Source organism: Homo sapiens, chromosome 21 (assembly GCF_000001405.40).
Source record: "Homo sapiens chromosome 21, GRCh38.p14 Primary Assembly".
In the NCBI taxonomy this organism is placed as follows: domain Eukaryota; kingdom Metazoa; phylum Chordata; class Mammalia; order Primates; family Hominidae; genus Homo; species Homo sapiens.
The window spans coordinates 36,034,541-36,060,563 of NC_000021.9; the positions used below are offsets into that span (position 1 = coordinate 36,034,541).

Consider the following 26,023-nt stretch of genomic DNA (forward strand, 5'->3'; position numbering starts at 1 on the left):
TAGGGTCTGCGAAGTTTTTAATGTTCAAGGGGCTGTCCGTTTTGAAAGGTGAAAAGGAATTAACATATTTAGGTCCACTCATAGGGAAGAGGAAAAAGAAATTCTGGCATAGCACAGGGGTCAGGAAACTATGGCCCACCACCTGTCGTTGTCAGTAGTTTCCCTGGAGCCCAGCCATGCAAATGGTTGACATGCTGCCGATGGCCGCTCTGCAGAATCGCTGGGACTAAGACCACAGGTCCAGAAAGCTTCAAATGGTTACTATCGGGCCCTCCACAGAAGTCTGCCCACTCTCCATACAGCATATGATGAAATACACTGCATTATACTGAATATTGAAAAAAAATATACTGCAGCTACTGAAAAATAAACACAAAGTGTATATACAAACAGGGAAAGATGTTCAAGAAATCATGAGAAAGTTTTATTTTAAACTCTGCCTGCCTCCTGAGGCCAGCAGGTCCCGTTCATTTGGTTTCACTAGGCTCCAATGAGAAAGGAATTTGAGTTCTTGGGAAGAATGAACCCTGGGAGGGTAAACAGGACTCTGGGCAACATTGTCTAAGCGGCGTCCCCAGCACGGGCCTGAACAGGACCAGCAGCCCCTCCGTTACTTACGCAGGCAGTTCCAAGGCCACAGGCCGCTGAGAGCTGTGCAGGAAGCTCTCCCCACCCAAGGTCTGCGTGGTATCAAAACTCAAGAATAAGAACAGAAGCCAAACCACCACCATGGTTCGCCATCAGCTGACCTACACTGAACCCCAGAATCAAGCAGACAGGCCCACCACGGCCCAGCTGTGCAGGATGAGCCAGCTCCCCAGGTGGAAAGGCCTGCCCAGGAAAGTCGCCAGAACAAAGCAGAAAGAGCCGCTGGCTGAGCTAGTCATTCTTCCCAAGTGAATAATTAGACAAGCGCCACCTTGAGAGGCCAGGAGCATGCTTAGAGGACATTCCCTCCTCCTGGAAGCTGTGTGTCCCCTAGGGGGCTCTTCAACACCCACCTCAGTGCAGCCACACAGGGAAGGGCTGGCGTCTGGGCCACCCTGGCGGGGATCCAGGACTACCTCACACTGCCCCACACCCACCGCCAATCTGCCCCTTAACCCAATGGTATCAGAGCATCTTAAAAGCACAACCACTAGACTCTGATAGCTGCTGTGTCAGATAAGAAGCAGGCCCCGTGGTGACAGACCACACACGGACGCAGCTGGCTCCTGGCTGCCTCACAGTCCGCCTCTCTCCTCACAGTTCAGCACTTTATTCGGAAGAGCATTAGACCTGCCATCCAGACAGCTTGTCCACCTTCACTCACAGCCTCACAATCCCAGAACCTGTGCTGCCCCCTGCAGAAATCCTGCATGTCCTGGGGGCAGCCACCACCCCAGCCCATGATGATGCTCTTCAAAATTAACTTTTGTTTCTGTAGGAAAAGCAAAAGGAAAAGGATTAAGTTCCTAATTGTTGAGTAGACACAACTCATCGACTCTAAACTATATAAATTTAGTCCATCAAACCTTAGTCTAAAATGTGTGACTAACACCCACCAGAGGAGGTGACCAAATGCGCTTCGGTGAAATCAGGTAAAAGCTGTTTGCAAACTGTGCAGGGTCTCGGCAGATGCCCTGAGAATCTTTAGCTCTTCCGTCCACAAGGATTCCACCAAAGTTAGTTGGTTTATCAGGGCCTCTTTTTCATCCTTCATATGAGACACCTGAAAGTTATTTTTTAATTATTGTTATTGTAGTAAAACATATATATATATTTCACAGAACGTACGTACCTTTTTAACCAATTTTAAGTGTATGGTTCAGCAGCATGAAGTACATTCACATTGTTTAGATCCACTGCCACTCTCCAGCTCCAGAACTTTTTCTATCACCCAAACAGAAACTCTACAAGCATACATCAATAACCCTATTCCCCTCTTCCCCAAACCCCCCGTCACCTCTACTCCACTCTCTGTCTCTACGAACTCACCTGTTCCAGGAACCTCACAGAAGTGGATCATACAGCATTTGTCCTTTTGTGTCTGGCTTATTTCATTTCCAATAATGTCTTCAAGCTTCATTAAAATCACTCTTTAAATCCCAGGCATGTTTTCATACGAATAAGCTGATTTCTCATTTAACTAAAACATTTACTAAATAAACACATCAATGAGAAAGAATGCTTGAAGTCACACAGTAACTTTTACTTTTTGCCTTTTAATAAAAAGTAAAGGCAAAGATATGGAATCAACCTAAGTATTCATCAACAGATGAATAAAGAAAAAGTGGCATATATACCCAGTGAAGTACATTCAGCCTTATAAAAAAGGAAATTTTGTCATTTGTGACAACGTGGATGAACCTGGAGGACATGCTGTCACACGGCAATAAGCCAGCACAGAATGACCAATATTGCATGATCTCACTATACATGGACTCTAAAATCATCAAACTCATAGAAGCAGGGAGTCAAATTGTGGTCACCAGAGGCTGAGGGGTTGGAGAGGGATTAGGGAGATGTTGATCAAAAGACACCAAATTTCAGCTGGACCAGAGGATTAAGTTCAAGAGATCTATGGTACATCGTGGTGACTACAGTTAATAACAATATATTATGTACTTGAAAATTGCTAAGTGCAGATTTTAAGTGTTCTCACCACAAAAAAAATAAGTATATGTGATCATGCATATGTTAAATAGCTTGATTTAGCCATCCACGATGTATACCTATTTTAAAACATCATGTAGTCCACTATAAATATATACAATTTTTACTGACCAATTAAAAATAAAGAGGCCAGGTGCAGTGGCTCATGCCTGTAATCCCAGCACTTTGGGAGGCTGAGGTGGGCGGATCACCTGAGGTCAGGAGTTTGAGACTAGCCTGCCCAACATGGTGAAACCCTGTCTCTACTAAAAATACAAAAATTAGCCAGATGTGGTGGCGGGCACTTGTAATCCCAGCTACTCGGGAGGCTGAGGCAGGAGAATCACTTGAACCCAGGAGGCGGAGGTTGCAGTAAGCCGAGATCGTGCCATTGCACTCCAGCCTGGGAGACAGAGCAAGACTCTGTCTCAAAAAAAAAAAAAAAATAGAAAAGAAAAAGAAAAAATAAAAATAAAAAATTGAGAGAAAAAGCATAGGTACTATGTTAACAGTCAAAAATGGAGCCCAGATGCGGTGGTTCAGGCCAGGCGCAGTGGACACTTGTAATCCCAGCACTTTGGGAGGCTGAGGCGGGTGGATCACTTGAGGTCAGGAGTTCAAGACCACCCTGGCCAACATGGTGAAACCCCGTCTTTACTAAAAATACAAACATTAGCTGGGCATGGTGGCGGGTGCCTGTAATCCCAGCTACCCGGGAGGCTGAGGCAGGAGGATCGCTTGAACCTGGGAGGTGGAGGTTGCAGTGAGCCAAGATCGTGCCATTGCACTCCAGCCTGGGCAACAAGAGTGAAACTCCATCTCAAAGAAAACAAAAATAGAGATTACATCAACATTTATTTATTTAAGGCACTAAACAATGCTCTTATGAAATGCACTATCCCTAATAACATGTACAAAACAAGGAACTGCTGAATCAAGACACTTCTTTAAGGATGTCATATTCTAGAAACATACCTTTTGAAGCACAGCATTAGTCTCTTCTATGAAATAATAGCATATTTTCTGGGCTATGTCCAAACTTGTCTTCTCATTCGTATCTGAAATTACCTCCCCAAGAAGTACTTTTTTCCAGCATGTACTAGAACCAAAATGTTCCATGACACAATTTTAGCAGGCTCTCAAAAAACAGATTTTTTTGTTTCAGTGCAACACATAAACTCCTTCTCCTATTTCTCCAGGAGCATAATACAACTCATTCCATAAGCAGATTCCCCAAACCTCCATGCCACTTGCAGCTCCCATGTGGAAGCCGACCAGGTAATGAGAGAGGAGGAGGAGGAGCTGAGAATAAAAGCACGGGGGGTGGGTACTCTCTGCAGGCAAGGGCTGAATGTTATTATCATCACAAACCTGTGTCTGACCCATGAGTGAATGAAGTCCCGTTCCCGGCCATGGGAACGAAGCCAGTGACAGAACAGGAGGGCGAGTCCACAGCCGAAAGGCAGAGGACTAAGGAGCAAAGGCAGAAGTTTTCCTTCAAGTGACCGTCTGTCCAAAATAGTAGCAAACTGGGCACAATTCACAAAGCCAAATGCTCCATGTCTGGAAGGAGGAATCTACAGCAAGCCTCTATCCCCATGCAGGTCATTCCAGTGCTCTACTACAAAGGTTCGCAGGAAACGGGGCTCAGTCAGCAGGCAGGGCCCACTCTGGAAGGTCTGCTGTGGCAGGTGCAAGGGAGCCACAGCAGGATGCGGAGCAGAGGTGGCAGCGCCAGACCTAGACACTAGAAAGAAGAACTACCGGGAGAAAGACGACGGAGGACCGGATTCTGAACACCGAGAATCTGGAAGTGGAAGTGGCTTCGAAGGGGAGGAAAGATGGCTGCTGTGGAAGTAAACAGGAGCCCATTAGATTCAGAACAGCTGGCAAGACACAGCCCGGAATAGTCTCAGAAGGCTTCAGTTTCAGAGATGACAGGTGAAATGAGTTCTCAGTAAAGAAAAAGGAAATGACTGTGTGTCAGGCATGGTGTTCATGAATAACCATTACCTAATTTAATCTTCACAGTTACCTAGCAAAGAAAGCACGATAATCCGCATGCTAGACTCAAAGAAACACTCAGCAAAGTTGAAGCACTCACCCTGAGTGACAGAGCTAGTGAGGCAGAAAGAACTGAAACGCCCCAGCCAGAGCCCCACACGTGCTTTCTCCACACCCACTCAGTAAGCGGTAACTCAAATGCAAGAAAAGAGGCCTAAGGAAGACCTCTGGGAAACAGCCAGTTGTTGTATTTAATTTTAGGCTGAAGTGTCCGAAAAGGACTCATACCTTGTTGCCAGAAGGATTTAAAGAAGCTAACATAAGTACACACAAAATAAAAGGTAAGATGAATGAAGGCAGAAAACAAGACAAAGGAAGACAAAAGGAGAAAAGACAAGACACTGCAGGAATGGGCCAGTGCGAAACCGCATGTCCCAACACTAGGTACGTTTGCATGCACCTCAGATTTGCCTCTCAGTTTTCCAGTGAACAAGGAAAAGAAGGAAACATCGGTTAAAGAATTCATAGTATCTGTAAGATAAAAACACTCCATTTGCTAAGAATAAAAACAAAAACTATGTCTAGTGTTGAGACCAGAGAGAAATTTTACTCCAAAAGTTCCTAGAGAAAAAGAAGGAAGCAACATCATCTCATCCAAAAGAAGAACAGGCGTCACTGAAGGGGCACCGACTGCTCCCAGGCACTGTGCCTCATCTCAGTCAGTCCTCCCAACTGTTCAAGGACAGCCTGCACCATCTTCAAGAGGTTCTCCCTGGATATCTAGCAGCAGAAGGTTGAAGGCTGCTCTCCCTGCCAGGGACTCAGGCTGAAGCTGCCCCTACACTGGGTACAGCACAGCTGGATGTGTCGACAGGGGGCTGCAGGGAGCAGGACTGACAGCAGGCAGGAACATGAGGGAGCCTGGCCAGGATGCACACCCACACCGGGGGCTCCCCGACCTGCCTCCCCCATGGAAAAGTCCAGCTCTTCAGCCAGGTTTCTGGATCTCCCCCAGGGCAGGACCGACGTTAGGGACTCTAGCTCTACTTGTCCTGGGCAAAACCTACCTACTCAGAGACTTTCCTCTGAACAGTGCCAATGCCCACACTTTTTAAAGGATTTCAGGTCACCAGAAGGAAAATATGAGTAGAAACAAAAAGATTATCAAAACTATGTATGCTGAGTCTAAAACCAGAATTCCAAAACGGTTAAAACTTAGAAATGAAACATTCGCTACATGGGCAAGTTACATAATGAGAAAGCAACTCCAATGTATGACATCCCTTTTTCCTCCCTGGCTGGGTATCTGAATGCAAGCCAAAAACAAACAAACCAACCCTCCAAAGTTATATCTAGCCTGTTGCTACAGCTTAAGACCAACACATGTGAAACTTACAATTTCTCAGCTTCCAGACATAACAACTTAAGGGCTGTGAGTAGCCTCCAAGATGGTCCATCCCATCCAAATGTCAAATTTCTGAAGTAGAAAAACAAATAATGACAAATCCATCATTTCAGTATTTCATGACCTCATAGCAAATGACTGAAGAGCCAAACACCTTTTTAAAGAGGTTGCTAAATGTCATGTAACCTGCAACCTCGGCCAAAGGACAAGAGAAAATCAGTCTGCAAATACTTAAGAAGAAAGCCTAAGTAACAGGAAATTCTCTCCCCATTTTTTTTCTAAAGAGTAAACAGCTGGCCGGGCGCAGTGCCTCACGCCTGTAATCCCAGCACTTTAGGAGGCCAAGGCAGGTGGATCACGAGGTCAGGAGATCGAGACCATCCTGGCTAACACGGTGAAACCCCATCTCTACTAAAAATACAAAAAATTAGCTGGGCGTGGTCGCAGGCACTTGTAGTTCCAGCTACTTGGGTGGCTGAGGCAGGAGAATGGCGTGAACCCGGGAGGCAGAGCTTGCAGTGAGCTGAGATTGCGCCACTGCACTCCAGCCTGGGCGACAGAGCAAGACTCCTTCTCAAAAAAAAAAAAAAAAAAAAAAAAAAAAAAAGAGCTTAACCATGGATGAGGGGCCGGAGGCAGGGCCCATGCACAGGAGTTCCCAGTAAGAGAAACGCTTAAGAACTGGAACTACCCTGGGCATCCCACTGATGGCAGCCACCACTGCCAGGCTGCTCTCACACCATGGCGGGATCATTTCAAACTTCATTTCATCCAGAAAAGAAAATCTGAAAGGGAGAGCCTTGAACCCTGTTTAGCCACTTGGCATGGAATCACCTCGCTACCCACCTACCCCAAGAGCCTGCACCATGTTGCCAGGTGCGTGGGCTCTCCTGAGGCCCAGCCTGGCCTTTCCACATGACCACAAGGGAGACAGACTCACCCTGGGCCACCCATCAACACATCCAAGCTCTCTTTTGGTACCATAATTTAATATTTCTAGCTTGTATCTTATGTCCCTAAAGAAGTTTCTTTCAAGTGTCTTATACTCCTTTTGTCCTCCACAACATCAAGCGCAGTTTTACTGCACATAGTAAGTGCTCAATACCTACCCGTCAGCTGATACAGGGTCAGGAGGGGTCTCACCCCCATGGAAAATTTAACCCCAGGTTTTCCATGAAAATTTCCTAAAGGAATAATTTTAAGAGGGAAAGAGAAACACTTACTCTATATAGCCATGATCCTTTAAAATAGAAATCTTTTTGTCCATCTGTTTATCTGTTGATGGAAGATATTTAACAAGTATTTCTATATTCAAAAAAAAAAATCAGACTGTTAGGGCATAAATTTGGACAAAAGTATGTCTCCCTTCCCTTCTCAACTCACTTCCTTTCCCTTTAGCAACCCAGACATGCATAAACAGTTCCACCTAATTCACACAAAGGAAATCTACTCTTCAAGTCCAATTCAGTCACATCAGTACTGAGTCCCTGAAAGGCTGTAAGAATTTCAAGGCTGGAGGACTAAACACGCATAACCTCAGCTCCTGCTCCCACTAAGTAAATCCACCAAAAACAAGCAGGTCATTAGGACATCAGCATGACTGTTGAAAATTTACAGTCAACAAAAGTAGAGGCCCTGCAAAAACATGAGGAAAGGTTTACAATACTGAGCTTTTTCCAAACCAGAATTCAAAGCAGTCTGGATATTAGTGACTGCAACTACAAAAAACTTAAAGTAAATATGCACAAATTAACAGAGCTATTTGGAGAAGCAGGGTAATAAGGGATTTTTCTATTTTATTTTAAAAATGTAAATATAACTAAAATATAATTTTTGCTCAAATTAATTTATTCAACAAATGAATACTTCGCGGACATCAATATTAAATTTATCAGGATTTTGAAAACATGAAGCCAATCTCGAAGCTGGTTTTCTAGCAGCAAGACCCAGTTTTTGCTTTTCTATTTTTATTTTGAGAAATCACATTATTATTCTGCCTATAAGATGGAGTAGTAACAGCTTGGCCAAGTTTCTATCTCCAATCAAATCTATATTTAAAAATGCTTCAAATTATATATTTAATAAGGCTCTTGCCGTTTTTTCATGGCCTAGAAAACTGCTTCTCTACAGTTTCAGAAAGGGAAAAATCAGTCTTCTATGTACTTTTTTAACACTATATTTGGAATTTTCACATCTTAAGTGTAATGGCTAACTTACTATTTTAAAATAATAAAACTGGGCCAAGCACGGTAGCTCCCGCCTATAATACCAACACTCTGGGAGGTTGAGGCAGGAGGATCTCGAGCCCAGGAGTTGAAGACCAGCCTGGGCAACATAACAAGACACTGTCTCTATCATATGAAAAAACAAATATTAAAAATAGTAATAATAAAACCAGGCCAGGCACAGTGGCTCACTCCTACAATCCTAGCACTTTGGGAGGCTGAGACAGGTAGATCACTTGAGGCCAGAGTTCAAGACCAGCCTGGCCAACACGGCGAAACCCCGTCTCTACTAAAATTACAAAAGTAGCCAGGCATGGTGGTGCGTGCCTGTAATCCCAGCTACTCCAGAGGCTAAGGCACAAGAATCACCTGAACCTGGGAGGCGGAGGTTCCAACGAGCCAAGATTACACCACTGCACTCCAGCCTGAGCAACAGAGTGCGACTCTGACTCAAAAATAATAAAATCAATGATGATGGCTAGGTTAATAGATCACAAAAGAACATACATGAAATCAAATCTCACCATGGCAACAACCTCCAGAAACAAGGACTATAGGTAGATTTATCTCTGTGATTAACACAGTGTCTTACCCACAGTAGGTGCTTAATAAATATTTTTTATTCATTGCTCTCTAATCCTATTTTCTTTAGTGCCAGTGACAACGTCTCAGTATAAACATTTCCATCCTTTAATACTGTATTTATTTCCTTAGCAGTTTTCCTTTTCTTCCATTCTATCTTCTGACCCAATGCAATGAAAACTTCTCAAAATATCAGTCAAAACTTCGTTGTTTTTACTTCAACACTGAAATTACAGCCAGTAAGAGTAAGGCTAGGCCTACCTAGAAGAAAATTAGTGATATGTATGTCAGTCTTAAGGTTTTGATATTTTTATTAAAACTGAAAATACACATCTCCAAATGGGGAAAAAAATTATATAGTGTTAATGTTAAGAACAAAGTTGATTCCAACCTCTTGAGACATAAACACAAGCATGAGGATTATGGACAGAAACAAATCCGTATTCCAGGAACAGCCGTTGATTATCGTGAGGGCCGTAACAGATGAATACCTCTTCATGCTTTCTCCAACGTGAAGTCGTTCTAATTTCGTAAGAATGAGTTTCTTCATTAAACGCTGCTTTTACCTAGAAAGAAAAACTGTTAAGGTATTTTTTAAAGTAAGGTGTAAAACTCCAAAGCTGATTAAGTTATTACATAATATTAATGTGAGTCAGGTGCAGCTTTCAAACACCCATCAATAAATGTAACTACGCATAGGGAAAATGCCACTTCCGGTTTCATCCACCTCGACTTCACCCCATTGATGACGGAGGGAGTCCTGCCCTAGGGCTCTGGGGGTGGCCACACCACGACACCCGACACAGCACAGATGAGATCATCAGCAGTTTATTGGTCACGTCCACTCACAGCCCAGGGAAGGAGGACATGGTGGTGCCAATAAACTTTATCTGTAAAAAGCTAGAGAGTAAATACGTTCAGCTTTGCCAGCACTATGTGGTCTCTGTCACAAGTTGTTGTATTTTCACAATCCTTTCAAAGTGTAAAAACCATTCTTAGCTCAGGGCTCTTGGGCCACACGCCCACAGGCTGTAGTTCGTGCTGTGGTCTTCCTACAGTAAACTATAAACTCATTGGTTTGGCACATAAATGCACCAAAAGTCCCAATAAAAATAAATCACTGCTGACGGAGTCCCCATGTCTAGCATCCTATCACACTACACACTCCTGATATTATTTCGTCAACATCAACCACAGAAACACTCACCTAATCCCAGGCTCCTTTGCTCCCGATTATTAAAGATACTTCTTTCTACAAAAGTAACAAGCAGACAGCCCTTGTTCCTGGGCTAAGAAAGCAGAGCGGGAACCTCCCTAAGCTCTGATCTCACGTAGAGAGCACGAAAGCTTAGCACGTGGGCTCACAAGGCATGGCTGCTCTTCTCCAGTGGAATGTCAGATGAAGGCGACGGCCAGGACACAGATCCCAGCCATGTCCCTCCACAACACACCCCAAAGTGGTTACAGGTGAGCCAACTGATGGACTCTCTTCCGCTCTCCAAGCCAGGCCTCTACCCCTGCATGCCCTGCAAATACACTCATTTCCTAAATGAGCCACCTGGGGAAAGCGCTGGGGAGGAGGCGATCTGTGACCACCTCCCAAATCAGGTTTCTTTCATTATTTCCCAGAACCCTTTCCCCACAAATACCCATCCATTCAATAAACATTTACTGAACACCTACTATGTGCCAGGCCCTGCCATGAGCACTGAGGTGACAAAGAGGAACAAGACAAAGACCCCATTCTCAAAGATTTCAGAGCTCAGTGGGAAAAAGAGCAAGTCAGTCAGCGATCAGAGCGAAGAGAAATGCTGTGACAGCTACAACACCAGTTTAAAAGGGACGGGGCAGGAAAGCAAGCTAAGCTTCAGTCCCGGAAGGAGGAACGAGGGAGAAGGAAGGAAGGCTCCGCACCACAGGCTGCTGGGAAAGACCGGACAGAGGATGCAGCACGAGGCTCTGTAGGCCTGAAGAGCAGAGTGAAGAAAAGGGGCCAAGGCAAGCACTGCGGGAGGGATAGTGGGGTCTAGAAGAACAACAGGAGCCTCCTGACGTCAGGCCAACCTGACAGGGTCACCTGAAGCCGCCGACACCTCTCCCTGTGGTGCCACCCACATCTACAGCCACAGGTTCTGGGCAGCGGAAGCCTTCCTATCCAAATAGAATAGCTGCTCCCTTGTCAGCTTCTCACCTGGACATGTGGGCTATGATTCAGCAGGTCCAGGTACGGAGCGAGTGCACAGGTGTCCGGCTCTGCAGAAAGGCATTCCCGCTGCCTGGGCCTCAGGTACACGGCTCTGGTGTTGACGGTGCACCAAGCCCACAGCAGGGCACTGTAGCTGAAGATGCTGTCAACAGCCTCCGCAAACAGAGGCTGCAGAGAAGAGAAAAAGTCTCTGGAGGAAGCAAAGAACTCCTGCACGTGGGCTCTCTGCTCTTCAGCCTTTGCTTTTAAAGATTTGGGAAGAAGGTTCACCACTTCCGGCTCCAAACAAACAGGGCAGGTATACGCCTTGGGTAAAATCTCCAGGTAAGGCTTCCAAAGAGATCGGTGCCCAGCATGCTTTTCTGAAACTAAAAAGGTGCACAGCGCCAGCAGAGGAGATGGAGGAGGCTTCCACCTTTGAAAATTAAAAGCCAGTTTAAAGGAATTACTTTGATTCAAAATACGAAATAAGCCAAGCAGTTTGTTTTGCTGCCAGAAGGAGTGTGTTCAAACTGTCAACACACTCAGTTTACTTAACAGACTCAAGAGTTCCTTCCTTCCTTCCTTAAGGCTCTTCCTCTCCAGGGGAGCACAGCCCCAGTGCTAGTGCTCTGAAAGAGCCATACTTACATGTCAGAAAAACTGACTCACTAAGCCAAGTTCCAGGTTTGTTTGCAAGAGATTCCTCTTTGCAAAAAAACCTCTTTGCTTCCAACTTGGTTCTCCAGTTGTAAACCTTTTGACCTAAGTCCATTTGTCTCACCTATGTAAAGATATAAAATATGGTGGGGAAAAAATGGTGGAAAGAACTGAGACCTGCACCATCCGATATAGTAATCACTGGGTACACAGAGCTATTTAAATTTAACCTTTAATTATTTAGAATTGAATATTTAAAATTCAATCCCTTGGTAAGATAAGCTATGTTTTAATTGCACAATAGCCATTCAGAGCTAGTGGCCACCATACTGGACAATGCATAAAAAACATCTGTCATTGCTAAAAGCTCTATTGGAGGGCACCAACCTAAACCAAAACTGAATATGCTCATATACAGTTGTTGCAGTTCTAAAGCTTTTATTCCTAAGTTTACCTGCTCTATTACAAATTATGTATCACAGTATTTTTACTTGCACAATTGCCGATAAAAAGATCTCATGTTGCCTGAATGTATTTAGAAAGTTTTCATCAATCCTTCGACATCCAGATTCCTATACTGCCATACATTCTACTCAAAATTTCAGAATGATTCAGAAAATGTTAACAATGACAGCATCATTGTCTCTACACAGGCCTAAAAGACCTATTCACTCTCTTCCAAAAACATGCCAGGGGGAAAAAAGACCAGCACTTACCTAATGGTTAAGAGACAGTATACGCCAGGCACAGTGGCCGTTTGCCTATATCCCAGCACTTTGGGAAGCCAAAGTGGGTGGATCACTTGAGGCCAGGAGTTTGAGACCAGCCTGACCAACATGGAGAAACCCCATCTCTACTAAAAATACAAAATTAGCAGGGCATGGTGGCGCACACCTGTAATCCCAGCTATTTGGGAGGCTGAGGCATGAGAACTGCTTGAACCCGGAAGGTGGAGGTTGCAGGGAGCCAAGATCACGCCACTGCACTTCAGCCTAGGCAACACAGCAAGACCTTGTCTCAAAAAAGAAAGAAAAAAACGGTATACTCTTTCAACCCTTGTATTTAGAAATCCCTTCCACTGCGGGTCGCTCTCACTCTGTCCTCAAAGATGCCCCAAAACAAAGGCCCAGCAGAACGTGTGCCAGAAAACAGTTCTTCCCCATCAGCCTCCTCTCTTCTATACCTAAATAAAACTAATTCTTTCACAAAATTAACAGCTCTTCAAAGTTCAAGGAAAACTGAAGTACAATAACGGTAGAAATAAGAGAGAGTAACTTACATTTGTCAAGAGCTACTATGATGGAAGAGAAGAGGCTACTATGAGCCAAGGCACTCAGCTGTGATTTACATATATTATCCCATTTAATTTTTATTTCTTAGTCAGTGATGGATCGGGATATCATACCCACACTCCAGGAAGCCTATTAAAAACCTTAGAAATGCCATTTACAGTGAATTAAGAACAAACTTTCTGGCCGGGCACGGTGGCTCACACCTGTAATCCCAGCACTTTGGGAGGCTGAGGCGAGTGGATCACAAGGTCAGGAGCTCAAGACGAGCCTGGCCAAAATGGTGAAACCCTGTCTCTACTAAAAATACAAAAAAAAAAAAAAAAAAAAAATTAGCTGGGCGTGGTGGCAGGCACCTGTAATCCCAGCTACTTGGGAGGCTGAGGCACGAGAATCACTTGAACCTGGGAGGCAGTGGTTGCAATAAGCCAAGATCACGACATTGCACTCCAGCCTGGCAACAGGTGAGACTCCATCTCAAGCAAGAGAGAGAGAAAGAGAGAGAGAGAGACAAGGAAGGAAGGAAGGAAGAGAGGGAGGGAGGGAGGGAAGGAGGGAAGGAGGGAGGGAGGGAGGGAGGAAGGCAGGCAGGCAGGCAGGCAGGAAGGCAGGGAGGGAGGGCAAACTTTCTAGAATGGAGTAAACTTTTCACATCATTCAGGTTATTTATCAGCTCTACAAGGGACTGGGTTCTAATGAATTGTGTCTCAAGTGACATATTTGCCATTGACAGACCTTAAGGAGAAGCACTTGCACCAGGTAAGCAAGTGTGTGGTCACTTACTTAGTAATGTATGCCCCTAAGTAGCTTCGAATCACTGTGTCCGTGGTGAGCAGGCAACTCTCAGGCAACGAAATAATCATCTGTCCCTCCTGGCCAAAAGGAAAGTAAAGTTGAGGACGCCTATGCTTTGGGAAGGACCCATGAGTATGAGTCTTACAAAGTCGTTGATCCCACAATCACCTACCAGTAACCCACTGTAACTCAACCAAAAGCCACCAATGAGCCTACCAATGGAGTCGCTCCCAACTCTGCGAGTCAGCAGATGCACACGAGGCTGCTCCAAGGCGAGGCCCCACAGCCCCAACAAAAATGAAAGGTCAATTATGTGACTGACACCCACAAGCAGTCAACCCTTCACCAGAATGAGTGGTGGAAACATGCTGACAATTCAAATTATACTGTTTCTTCACTTTTTTTTTTTTTTTTTGAGATGGAGTTTTGCTCTTGTCTCCCAGGCTAGAGTGCAATGGCGTGATCTCAGCTCACTGCAACCTCCACCTCCCAGGTTCAAGCGATTCTCCTGCCTCAGCCTCCCAAGCAGCTGGGATTACAGGCACCCATCACCATGATGGTGCCTAATTTTTGTATTTTTAGTAGAGACAGGGTTTCACCTATTTCTTCACTTTCTTATGCCAGGAAATAGTGCTACCAATAGTAAACAGACAGAAACTACCCCCAAAAAATTGTATCCAGTGAAATCCAAGTGGCCAGGTGATGGTCTGCTCTCTACATAACCCACGCTTATGAGCTAAAGAAAGGCCAGCATGCCCAACACAGTAAGCGTCGAACTCTACCACTTGCAAGAGTATCGTTTTCAGTGTCTCCCACGGAGATAGAACCATGGAAAGAAAAATTAGATGTAAAGTAATAGAAAACAGTTTAAATAAACACTGCATGAAGAAGCCAGATGTAAGACTCTCCTTTAATTCTAACTGGCATCTAAGTTGGTTAAAAATCTCAGCCAAGGCCAGGCGCGGTGGCTCATGCCTGTCATCCCAGCACTTTGGGAGGCTGAGGCAGGTGGATCGCTTGAGGTCAGGAGTTCAAGACCAGCCTGACCAACATGATGAAACCACATCTCTACTAAAAATACAAAAATTAGCTGGCCATGGTGGTGCACACCTGTCATCCCAGCTACTCGGGAGGCTGAGGCAGGAGAATCACTTGAACTCGAGAGGCAGAGGTGGCAGTGAGCCGAGATTGCGCCACTGTACTCTAGCCTGGGCGACAGAACGTGACTCCGTCTCAAAAAAGAAAAAAAAAATCTCAGCCAAAAAATCTTCCGGGATCAATTTCTGGTTTCCTCATCTGTAAAGCAAGATTAAGCTGGATGATCACTATGGTCACTTCCCATTCCAACATCCTATGATCTTTTGGTTTGAAAATATTTGGGTAAATCTCTTTATCATCAAAATGCAAACTGTACACTTCACTGTGCATTTCACTATATGTAAAATATGTCTCAATTTTCAAAAACTTTTGATAAAACAACCATATTTGAATGTACATGTGAAACAACTGCCAATTATTTCATGACCTAAACAAAAACTACCTGTAGTTACTGCTGCATACATGACATTTCTCATCCCCAAATTCTGCTACAGAATAAAGTCAATTACACCTTCCTCCAAAAACAAAAATATTGTACAACAATATGAATGTACTTAATACTACTGAACTTCAAAATGGTTAAGATGGTAAGTTTTATGTTAGATGAGCTTCCGGGTTTATGGATTCGTGGGCTGCTTCCACCTGCTAGGAGGGTGGTGCACTCTAACTCGGGGACAGAAGCCCCTGTGCTCAGGACTCTTGCAGACCTCTATATCTGGCTGTTCATCTTCCATAATCAACTGGTAGATGTTACATCCAAGAGGAAACAATCCAGGCAAGGAAGCACAAGCTGATCAAGATCTGTAGTTACGTGGCTGCCAAGTTGTGGTTTTTGATAGATTGTCCCATCAGGGAAGACTATCCTCAAACAGAGATTTTACGAGCATTAAAGGCCAAATGTTGTGAGGAGGAACTGGACTTTAGGGCTGTGGTGATGGATGAGGTGGTGCTGACAATGGAGAAAGGAAACTTGGGTCTGCGGATCAATGGAGAGCTAATCACTGCCTACCCACAAGTGGTGGTAGTCAGAGTACCAACCCCTTGGGTGCAAAGTGATAGTGACATCACTGTTTTGCGCCATCTAGAGAAGATGGGATGCCAGTTAATGAACCGACTTCAAGCCATCCTGAACTGCGTTAATAAGTTCTGGACATTTCAAGAGTTGGCTGGCCATGGTGTTCCTCTGCCGGATACTTTCTCTTATGGTGGCCATGAAAATTTTGCTAAAATGATTGATGAAGCTCAAGTACCGGAGTTCCCAATGGTAGTAAAGAATACGCGGGGTCATAGAGGTAAAGCTGTTTTCTTGGCTCGAGATAAGCACCATTTGGCTGATCTAAGCCATCTTATTTGCCATGAAGCGCCATACTTGTTCCAGAAGTATGTTAAAGAGTCACATGGACGGGATGTACGTGTCATTGTCGTGGGAGGCCATGTGGTTGGCACCATGTTACATTGTTCAACAGATGGGAGAATGCAAAGCAACTGCTCATTAGGTGGTGTGGGGATGATGTGTTCATTGAGTGAACAAGGGAAGCAGCTAGCTATCCAGGTGTCTAATATCCTGGGGATGGATGTGTGTGGCGTTGACCTGTTGATGAAAGATGGCAGCTCCTTCTGTGTCTGTGAGGCCAATGCAAATGTAGGTTTCATCGTCTTTCATAAGGCTTGTAATCTAGATGTAGCTGGTATCAGAGCAGACTATACTGCCTCCCTTCTACCCTCTGGCCAGCTCACCCAGCGTATGTCCCTGCTCTCTGTGGTGTCCACTGCCAGTGAGACTAGTGAGCTGGAGCTGGGTCCCCCAGCCAGCACTGCTGTTGACAACATAAGTGCAAGTTCCAGCTCTGTTGACAGTGACCCTGAAAGCATGGAGCGAGAGCTGCTCACCAAACTCCCAGGGTGACTGTTCAACATGAACCAGCTGCTAGCCAATGAAATCAAACTACTGGTGGACTGACTCCACTGGTAATTAACCAACAAAACCCTTGTAAAACTTTCTTTCTTTTTTCTTTTCTATTTTTAAAACCAACTTGCAATGCTGTTCATGGAGGATGCTCAGGAAGATGAGAGAAAATTAGTAGGATTAGTTGGAGAGAGTGGGAGATAGACGAGACCCCCGCTAGTAAGATGTTACTTTCATTTACAAATCCTACAGAGAGGCAGAATAGGTGGGGTATAGAAAAATGTCAGGCTGTCAGTTACCCTTTTAAATTGCTAAAAAATTTGTATGCTCATAGACCATGAGGAACAAATACTTTTTTTTTCATGGTCCCTTGCTTTTGTTTTTGTACAAAAAAAATGGTTTTGCTACAAATATCCAAGTAGCATAACTTCACATTGTGTTGGAAGATTTGTCATCAGTGAGGAAAACATCTGCTTAAATTACAGGAATTTTTGTATTATACAGCTCTGAAAATTCTGCCATTTCCTTATTAACTAGCAGCTTTAGTTTGTAGTTTATGAAATCTTGAGGGGCTCTTTTACTGGGATTTCTTATTTTTGTTTTTCGTTTTTTCCCTCTTAATTTGGTGGGAGGGTCAAAGTGAATATAACCCAATAAAGGCTTCTTAATGACAAAAAAAAAAGTTTTATGTTACATATATTTTACAATTAAAAATTTTTAAATGATGAAAACATTAACACGGCGTAATAGAATTACAACATTAAAACATACCATTCTTTATATATTGGACTTCTTGTGTTTGTGATTTTCACCTGTTTAGGAAAGATAACCTGAATTCCCTTGCTGACTATGCTTGCATTTTAAAGAAACTATACTTTCCTTTAATATTTTAAAAACTTCTCTTTTTAACACAACATTTTTAAAAAGTAAAATTACTTTTGGGCCAGGCATAGTGCCTCATGCTTGTAATCCCAACACTTTGGGAGGCCAAGGCGGGCAGATCACCTGAGGTCAGAAGTTCAAGACCAGCCTAGCCAAGATGGTGAAACCCTGTCTCTACTAAAAAAAAAAAAAAAAAAAAAAATTAGCTGGGCATGGTGGCACATGCCTGTAATTTCAGCTACTTCAGGAGGCTGAGGCAAAAGAATTGCTTGAACCCAGGAGACGGAGGTTGCAAGGAGCCGAGATCGCGCCACTGCACTCCAGCCTGGGCAACAGAGCAAGACTCTGTCTCAAAAAAAAAAAAAAAAAAGGACGTTTTATCTACTGAAAAAAAAAAGATACCATTCCTTAGCCTAAACATATGTACACATCTGAGTGCAAGTTTTAAATAGAGAATTTAAAATAAGATAATTTTTAAATAAAGGAAGAAATTAATTTCTGGCTTCACAGAAAATCGTGCGCTAGAGATCTTTAAAATAGCATTGGAAGAATGAAAAGAAACCTTGGAGGCTGTCATTTACTTCCTCATTTTGTAGGTGAGGAAACAGGAGCCAAGAGTATGAGGGGTCTCATGCTGGGGCCTCAGGCAGCTGAAGGCAACTCTGGCCCAAGTCTGAGGCCTCATCCTCCCCTAGCTCTGGTTTCTACCTGCCACATCACGACTGCCTCACAGACAGCAGCAGCTCCCTTGGCATACTGAAAACGTGATCTGACATGTAACATGTGCTGTGGCAGAGATTGCTAGTTGCCTATCCCAACACGCCTTCTCTCCCCCTCCTCGCTAACGGAATCCTACTTAGAGGGCACGTGGCTGGGGAAAGGCCAGCACGGATCTCCTCCCTTGCAGCTGGCTAGGGCTGTGTACCTGATCACTGGCCAAGGACAGAGGGACTGGAATTTCCTTAAAGGAAGGAAGCCTGCCCTTCCTCACCCGCTTGCTCTCTCCTGATGCCCAAGTTCCAAGACCCACAACCTGACCTGAGGGTGCAGTTCCCTTAAGGACATGAGAGAGCTGGAAGGAGTTGGGGCCTCTGCCAGCCATGGGACTGCCCCACCAGCCAGGGTCAGCCTACTCCAAGCTTGTTTCTATGAGTGAGAACAAAATAAATTTCCATGCTGCTTAAGCACCTCAATTTTGGGCTTGTCTTTTATTGCAACAAACTTAATCCTAGTTGATAGAACCATATTCAAATATATCTATTAGGTAAGTAAGAAATGACTGTATGTCTGAAATTTTTTTAATTCACTTCGTTTGAACCGCAAAAACAAAGCAGCAAAATCTACATTGGGTTTCAAGGATCAAAGAACAGTTCTCACCTGCAGGGATGTTTGACTCATCAGCCCTCTTCCTGTACCTAGGAAAGCAAAGACAGAAAGAGAGTAAATCCTACCATAACTTCAAGGTCCCAGAGATAACTATTATGGAAAAAAAAAATGTGAACTTCAAAATTACACAAGGCTGAAGCTGGATGTCTCTCAGCCTTTGATTCCCAGGGGAAACAGGGAGTCAGAAAGCTATTCCAGAAAATGTCTTGACCTCCAGTGAGTTATAATCCTTGAAGGGCAGTCAGCTTCAGAGGTGAGACCTAAAGAGCACCGTGGACTTTATACAGACCTACTGCTGGGCCTCCTGCAGGACGCTTTGGGCTGGACTCTCTCCACTGGGGCCTACCAGCTAACAAGGTGCTATTCCCAATGCCCAGCCAACCTCTGAGGCTAGAGCCCCAGGCCACTTATCCCCATTACCAGACTCAGCTCTCCCAAGTGAAGACCTTGAGACCCCTTTGATTGGCCGACTGGCCAATAAACCCCACTCAAGTCCCCACAAAGCCTGCAGACATCCTCCCCTCTCTGATCAGGTAACCCATGAGATGGGCTCTCCATGACCTGGTGAGCTCAGCTGGGTAGGTCAGCTCCAGCTGTTCCCTGTGAGCCAAGGCTCCGGCTGGAGCACAGTCACCATAGTAACCTCAGCAGCTGCATTAATACCAATTAATTCAATAAATTCCTTTATTTAAAAATTAATACCAACTTCCAGAAGTTTCTCCCTTCATGCCTAAGCTTCTGCTCCTGGAACAGTCAGACAAACATTGAAAGGATGCTCAGATGACAGCTTTTCTGGCAGGCATAGGTATTACATGGTCATAAGAGGCCTAGAGCATTAACGTCTCCAATTCATCGTTCTTCACCTTTCCTCTCTTAGCTGGGAGGGAAAATAATTCAGCCAAGTCAGTGCAGGACTACTGGGAGCTCCCAGCTCACGGTGGCTCACTGCCTCAAGTCCTCCATCAGTTTCCCGCAACTTGGATTTGATGCTCCCGGCTCATGGTGGGAATTCCTGCCTCAAGTCCTCCATCGGTTTCCTGGCAGGTTGGATTTGATGCTCCTGGCTCATGGTGGGAATTCCTGCCTCAAGTCCTCCATCGGTTTCCTGGCAGGTTGGATTTGATGCTCCCGGCTCATGGTGGGAATTCCTGCCTCAAGTCTTCCATCAGCTTCCTGGCAGGTTGGATTTGATGCTCCTGGCTCATGGTGGGAATTCCTGCCTCAAGTCTTCCATCAGCTTCCTGGCAGGTTGGATTTGATGCTCCTGGCTCATGGTGGGAATTCCTGCCTCAAGTCTTCCATCAGCTTCCTGGCAGGTTGGATTTGATGCTCCTGGCTCATGGTGGGAATTCCTGCCTCAAGTCCTCCATCAGTTTCCCAGCAAGTTGGATTTGATGAGTCCCAATTCATCTCCCCTCCCAGGAGGACACTGTCTGCTTATACAGCTGGTTCTAGTGTTAACTTATTTCATTGATTTTGTGTACCCCATTGTGGAGTTAATCATCCCTGTGCTCCAGAACTCCTCCTAGAATCAATGACTAATGGGAAGATTTTCTTCTACCTGGTTATCCTTCCAAAAACTTACGTGCTAATCTAAGTGGAAATTCTCTCCAAACATATATATGAACAAAAGCTGGCCTATGGAATACATCTAGAAGATCCTTTACCTATATTTATATGGTAGATAGTGTTTAATATCAAAAAACATATAGTAATCTACACTTACTTTCATTTTCATATTGGATATACTAGGCAAAGTAGAAGTGGCCATTAGGAGCTCATGAGAGTAAAGCTTATCACAAATGTCTCAAAGCCTCAAAATTTCCACTATCATCAATCTACATGGGAGGCCCTGACCTGGCTAGTGCTTTTGGTGGTGAAAGGAAATGCTGCGGTCAGTTCCCAAGGCAGAAAAGAAGAGAGAGTCTAAAGATGGAATCCTGCTTAGGAGATTTCCTGTGCCCCTCCACAAACTAAGATGAATTCCCCAGAGTTCATACATTTTGACTGAAGCCCAGAAATGTTACCTCCTATCATACACTGATTAAGAGCTAAAAACTACATGAAGCACTTACAGAAGGTTCCCCAGAACTGTAAGCACTGGGCACGGGTCACTGCCAAGCCACCTGCATCACCCGAAATCTGGGGCTGGGGCCAGGGCAAGTTGTGCTCACTTTTAAAAATAGGAACTCTTTACTGCTCCAAATTACAAACAGATGACCTATTCTCAGGTATTCCATCTAAACCATCTGCTGATTCCTGCTTGATGATTTTAAACCCATCCTTCCTAGGGCAAATGACACCAGAGATGTGGGCAGGCCTTAGACACGGCAAGTTTACTGCTGACACTACTGACTCTCTTGATCATCTGGGGAAAAACTCTGTTCTGTACATCTAAGGGTGTGGCTTTTACTGACCATCTTTGACACACAAAAACAGAAAGTCAAGCATTATTTTAGAGGCTGACAATATGGTTCATGACCATCAACTAGAAGGGGCCTTAATAGAAAATGGCTCAAATCAAGCATTTTAGTTCAAAGTCATGATGTGTAACTGACTCATGGAGAACAACTTTACACACATCACCTCACTCAGCAAGGGGCACAAGTGGGAAATCATTTGCCTTGGCGTGTGGTATATGAGGAAGTTAATTTGCTCAAAGTTCAATTACCTAATGGGTACTTGAATAATAATTCTAATGGCCAAGGGGAGCATTGTGTGGCATATGCTTTGACTTTTCTGTAAGATGCAGCCTGCCCTGTGATGTAGAATTTTGGGGCCCTAATTGCACCACCACTATCTCTGTGCTACAGCAGACTCCAAATCCTTTTAAAGAGCATCTTGGTCCTCCCTGTGGTTATCTCTTGCCCACCTGTGGGAAGAGTGGAGTGGCCATGTATGCAGGCACACACCCATAGCAAGCTGCCCAACTTCTGTGAGAGAATGTTCCAGAAGAAAGTGGTTTTTGTTTTTTGTTAGTTTTTTGAGACAAGGTCTCACTCTATCGCCCAAGCTGGAGTGCAGGGGCATGATCATGGCTCTCTGCAGCCTCAGCCTCCCGGGCTCAAGCAATCCTCCTGCCTAAGCCTCTAGAGTAGCTGGGACTACAGGGCACACCACCGCGCCTGGCTAACTTTTGTACTTTTAGTAGAGACAGGATGTTGTCATGTTGGCCAGGCTGGTCTCAAACTCATGAGCTCAAGTGATCTGCCTGCCTCAGCCTCCCAAAGTGCTGGGATTACAGATGTGAGCCACCACGCCTGGCAAAATGTTAACCTAACCTCCCTAATAAGCACAAGTTCCAGAGAAGAATGTCAGTCTACCTCAGTTCAGTGCTGAAGCCCACTGCTCTGCAATTAACTGGCCATACACAGGGGACTCCTCCTCCAACCCAAGGGGAACACATGCAAACCAGCTGAAGGACAATATCTGCTGAGGCCCACCTGCAAGAGTGGCCCCTGCTGTCTACCTGGCTCTCGTGTGGGAAAGGGCAGGACAGCTGAAGGCTAGATCTTACCTGGAAAACAAGCAGGCGCTAAGTTTGAATCTTGAAACTTCCTAGCTTTCAGCCACTTCCTCAGCTCTATAAATTCAGACTTGTGGCTCTCATTCACTATCAGGCAAGGAGAGAACAAATGGTGATTAAAACCACTATATAATCGGATTACCATTTTTAAAAGAACATGTCTGATGAAATGTGTCAGACAGACTTACACAATAGTAAGAATTGGTGTATCTAAACATAGAAAAGTTACAATAAAAACACAGTATTGGCCAGGCGCAATGACTCACTTCTGTATTCCCAGCATTTGGGAGGCCAAGGCGGGAGGACTGCTTGAGGCCAGGAGTTTGAGCCCAGCCTGCCCAACACAGAAAGACCCCATCTCTTAAAAAAAAAAAAAATACAATATTATAATCTGAGGACCACCACTGTACATGTGATCCATCAACCAAAACATACTTATGCAACATACGACTATATTCATTCAATGTAATCCTAATCAAAATTCAAGCAGGCTTTCATACAGGAATTAACAAGATGATCCCAAAATTCATGTGGAAATGTAAAAAGCCTAGAATAGCCCCAATATCTTTGAAAGATTGATTTTAAAACTTATTATAAAGCTACAGTAATCAAATTAGTGTGATATTGTCAAAACAGACACAAATAGGTCAAAGGAACAACACAGAAAATAGGAAGAGGTCCACACGTAAATTTTTGACAAAGTGCAAAGGCAAATCAGTGGAAGAAGATAGTCTTTTCAATAAATGATGATCAAACAACTGGACCTCCATCAGCAAAAAAAAAAGTGAGCTTATCGATATCTTGTACCATATCCAGTTGGATTTACATAGGACTTTCCAGATGGCCAAGCACTTTTGTATTGAACAAGATACAGTATCTTCTTCAGACAGGGTTACCCTGAATTTGAAGTCATAAATTTACATCCAAACATTGATATCCTACAGATAGCTGAAGGTCAAGACCAGAAAAAGAAAGTTGGGAGTCATCCCCAGAGAAGACAGTTGAAACAATGAGTTAGTTATCTTCACATTCCCACCAGGATCTAAAAGAATACAATGGCACCATTAAAAAAGAGTGTTATTTAAGAAATATTCTCTTTGGGCTGGGCACAGTGGCTCACACCTGTAATCCCAGTGCTTTGGGGAGGCCAAGGCAGGAGGACCACTCGAGCCCAGGAGTTCAAGACCAGCCTGTGCAACATAGACCCTGTCACTACAACAAATTTAAAAAAACATTAGCCGGGTGCAGTGGCATGTACCTGTAGTCCCAGGTACTTGGGAGGCTGAGGCAGGAGGGAGGCTAAGGGAGGAGATCACTTGAGCCTGGGAGATCAAGCCATGATCACGCCACTGCATTCCAATCTGGGTAACAGAATGTACCTTGTCTCCAAAAAAAAAAAAAAAAGAAAGATTCTCTTTGAACACTGTGTGCCTTTGAGAAAAGCTATGTGTTAGGCCGAGCATGCTGGCTCACGCCTGTAGTCCCAGCTACTTGGGAGGCTGAGGCAGGAGAATCGCTTGAACCGGGGAAGCAGAGGTTGCAGTGAGCCAAGATGACACCACTGCACTCCAGCCTGGGTGACAGAGCGAGAATCCGTCTCAGAAAAAAGAAAGAAAGAAAGAAAAGCTACGTATGAACAAACAAGCAATCACAAAAGGATTTCTTTTTTCATTACTGGTACTAAAAGAAAAACCATACCTCCTCTTGATTCAGAACTTCCGCAGAGTTTTCGTCTTCTGATCCGGCTTGTTCTCCCTTTTCCTTTCTGCATGCTAAAACTGTAGTTTCTTTTTTCTGAAATACAGTTCTATTTTTTCAAAAAGGACAAAACTGTAATTTCTGTGGAAATGCTCAATCTAAAATAAAAAACATTTCTTTGATTTACTTTCCAGTTATATGATAATCACTGTTCTTTGTACCTTTAAGTATACAAATGTATGTTTTGGTAAACTGTTTCTCTCAAGTGCTTTTGTACATGAAACGTTTATACTGTGAGCTAAATCATGATCCCTACAGTAACAGAATTCCCATTATATCAGTCCCTCTAAAACAGTTTTATCTTGCAGACCTAGTGACTACAGCTTAATCTACTAAAAATACAAAAAATAGCTAGGCGTGGTGGCACACGCCTGTAATCCCAGCTACTTGGGAGGCTGAGGCAGGAGAATCGCTTGAACCTGGGAGGCGGAGGTTGCAGTGAGCCGAGATCGCGCTACTGCACTCCAGCCTGGGCGACAGAGCGAGGCTCCGTCTCAAAAAAATAAAAAAATAAATACATAAATAAAAATAAAATAATGGCTGGGTACAGTGGCTCACGCCTGTAAAACCAGCACTTTGGGAGCCCGAGGCGGGCTGAGGTCAGGAGTTCAAGACCAGCCTGGCCAACATGGTGAAACCCCGTCTCTACTAAAAATACAAAAATCAGCCGGGCGTGGTGGCAGGCACCTGTAATACCAGCTACTGGGGAGGCTGAGGCAGGAGAATCGCTTGATCTCAGGAGGCGGAAGCTGCAGCTAGACGAGATCACGCCACTGCACTCCAACCTGGGCGACAGAGCGAGACTCTGTCACAAAAAATAAATTAAAAAAATAAAAATAAAAAATAAATCTACTTCTAAAACATACGAGGGCAGAAATGAGCAAGAGACAAGAACTCCAGGCAATATTAATACCGCACTTCCGCAGTATAAGGTTCATTATTTGACCTAACGAAAGTCGGCATGTCCAGCTCCAGAGGCGAACGGCGGCTGGTTCGGTGCGGGTCCCAGCGCTCAGTCCACAGACCGCGCCGGGAAGTGTCCCCAAGACTCCCGGGCCCTCGCGCGAGCTGTCCACCATCACCCTGCTGAGGACCACGTGAAGCCCGGTGACCGCCACAGACACAGGCACCGTCCCCGCCCCCATAGTCCTCAAACTCTAGCCGTGAGGCCGTCCTACGGTCCGACACACACCGCTCCCGCAGCCATAGGCCAGCCAGGCGAGCATCGGACCTCGGGCCTCAGGCTCCTCAGCTTTACGCAGCGCGCCGGAGCAACATGCGCTAAGTGTAGGACTCCACAAGATGAGAGGTTACTGCAGCGCACACGATAATGCCTGCCCTGGAGGGGACCTGCGACCTAAACTCAGTTCTTTTTACGCTGATGAATGAAAGACTAAGGAACGCACCCCGCCGACTCTGCTCCCGTTACCCGGGCAACTGGAGGCCCGACCCGGAAGTCCTACTAGCTCACCTAGGCGCCGGCGGCCGCTTCCAAGATGGAGGCTGCAGTGGGCGGGCCCAAGGCACGTGGAAATACCAAACAGCCCCAGATGAAGGCAAGTTAAAGGAACCGGCCAAAACTGCAGAGGGAGAGGCTGAAGGCTGTCGCGCCTGCCTGGTGTCCTTAAGCAATCCAAGTCCTCAGTCTCCCGGGTCCGCCCCTTCCGCCGCGGGCGGCAGCTTCCGGC

General features: G+C 44.9%; 1 protein-coding gene and 1 pseudogene across 24 annotated transcripts, besides 2 other annotated features; one reads left to right on the forward strand and one right to left on the reverse strand.

Annotated features, from left to right (window-relative positions):
* On the reverse strand, window positions 1-25,986 carry SETD4 (SET domain containing 4). 24 transcript variants are annotated; one of them, XM_011529643.2, is made up of 13 exons: window positions 25,807-25,986; window positions 24,276-24,384; window positions 22,844-22,937; window positions 22,569-22,664; window positions 19,043-19,080; window positions 13,768-13,856; window positions 11,042-11,471; window positions 9,242-9,416; window positions 7,267-7,348; window positions 6,035-6,115; window positions 3,610-3,733; window positions 1,545-1,711; window positions 1-1,420 (listed from the first exon to the last, which is right to left on the reverse strand). In XM_011529643.2, coding segments are annotated over exons 3-12 (1,251 nt in total). In that variant the 5' UTR covers window positions 22,845-22,937; window positions 24,276-24,384; window positions 25,807-25,986; the 3' UTR covers window positions 1-1,420; window positions 1,545-1,576. The 24 variants fall into 24 exon arrangements, 22 of the variants coding, with proteins under 22 accessions (XP_011527945.1, XP_011527946.1, NP_059134.1 ...); XM_011529644.2 differs by having other exon boundaries at window positions 25,742-25,986; XR_007067790.1 differs by lacking the exon at window positions 22,844-22,937 and adding an exon at window positions 1,978-2,140 and having other exon boundaries at window positions 1-1,711; window positions 24,276-24,433.
* RIMKLBP1 (ribosomal modification protein rimK like family member B pseudogene 1) lies at window positions 15,483-17,647 on the forward strand (annotated as a pseudogene).
* Window positions 25,759-25,908: an enhancer, noted in NCBI's record as "active region_18421". NCBI's record gives its function as "activates an Ori minimal core promoter by ATAC-STARR-seq in GM12878 lymphoblastoid cells {active_cell/tissue: GM12878}" and the evidence as "EXISTENCE:reporter gene assay evidence [ECO:0000049][PMID:35858748]".
* Window positions 25,939-25,988: an enhancer, noted in NCBI's record as "active region_18422". NCBI's record gives its function as "activates an Ori minimal core promoter by ATAC-STARR-seq in GM12878 lymphoblastoid cells {active_cell/tissue: GM12878}" and the evidence as "EXISTENCE:reporter gene assay evidence [ECO:0000049][PMID:35858748]".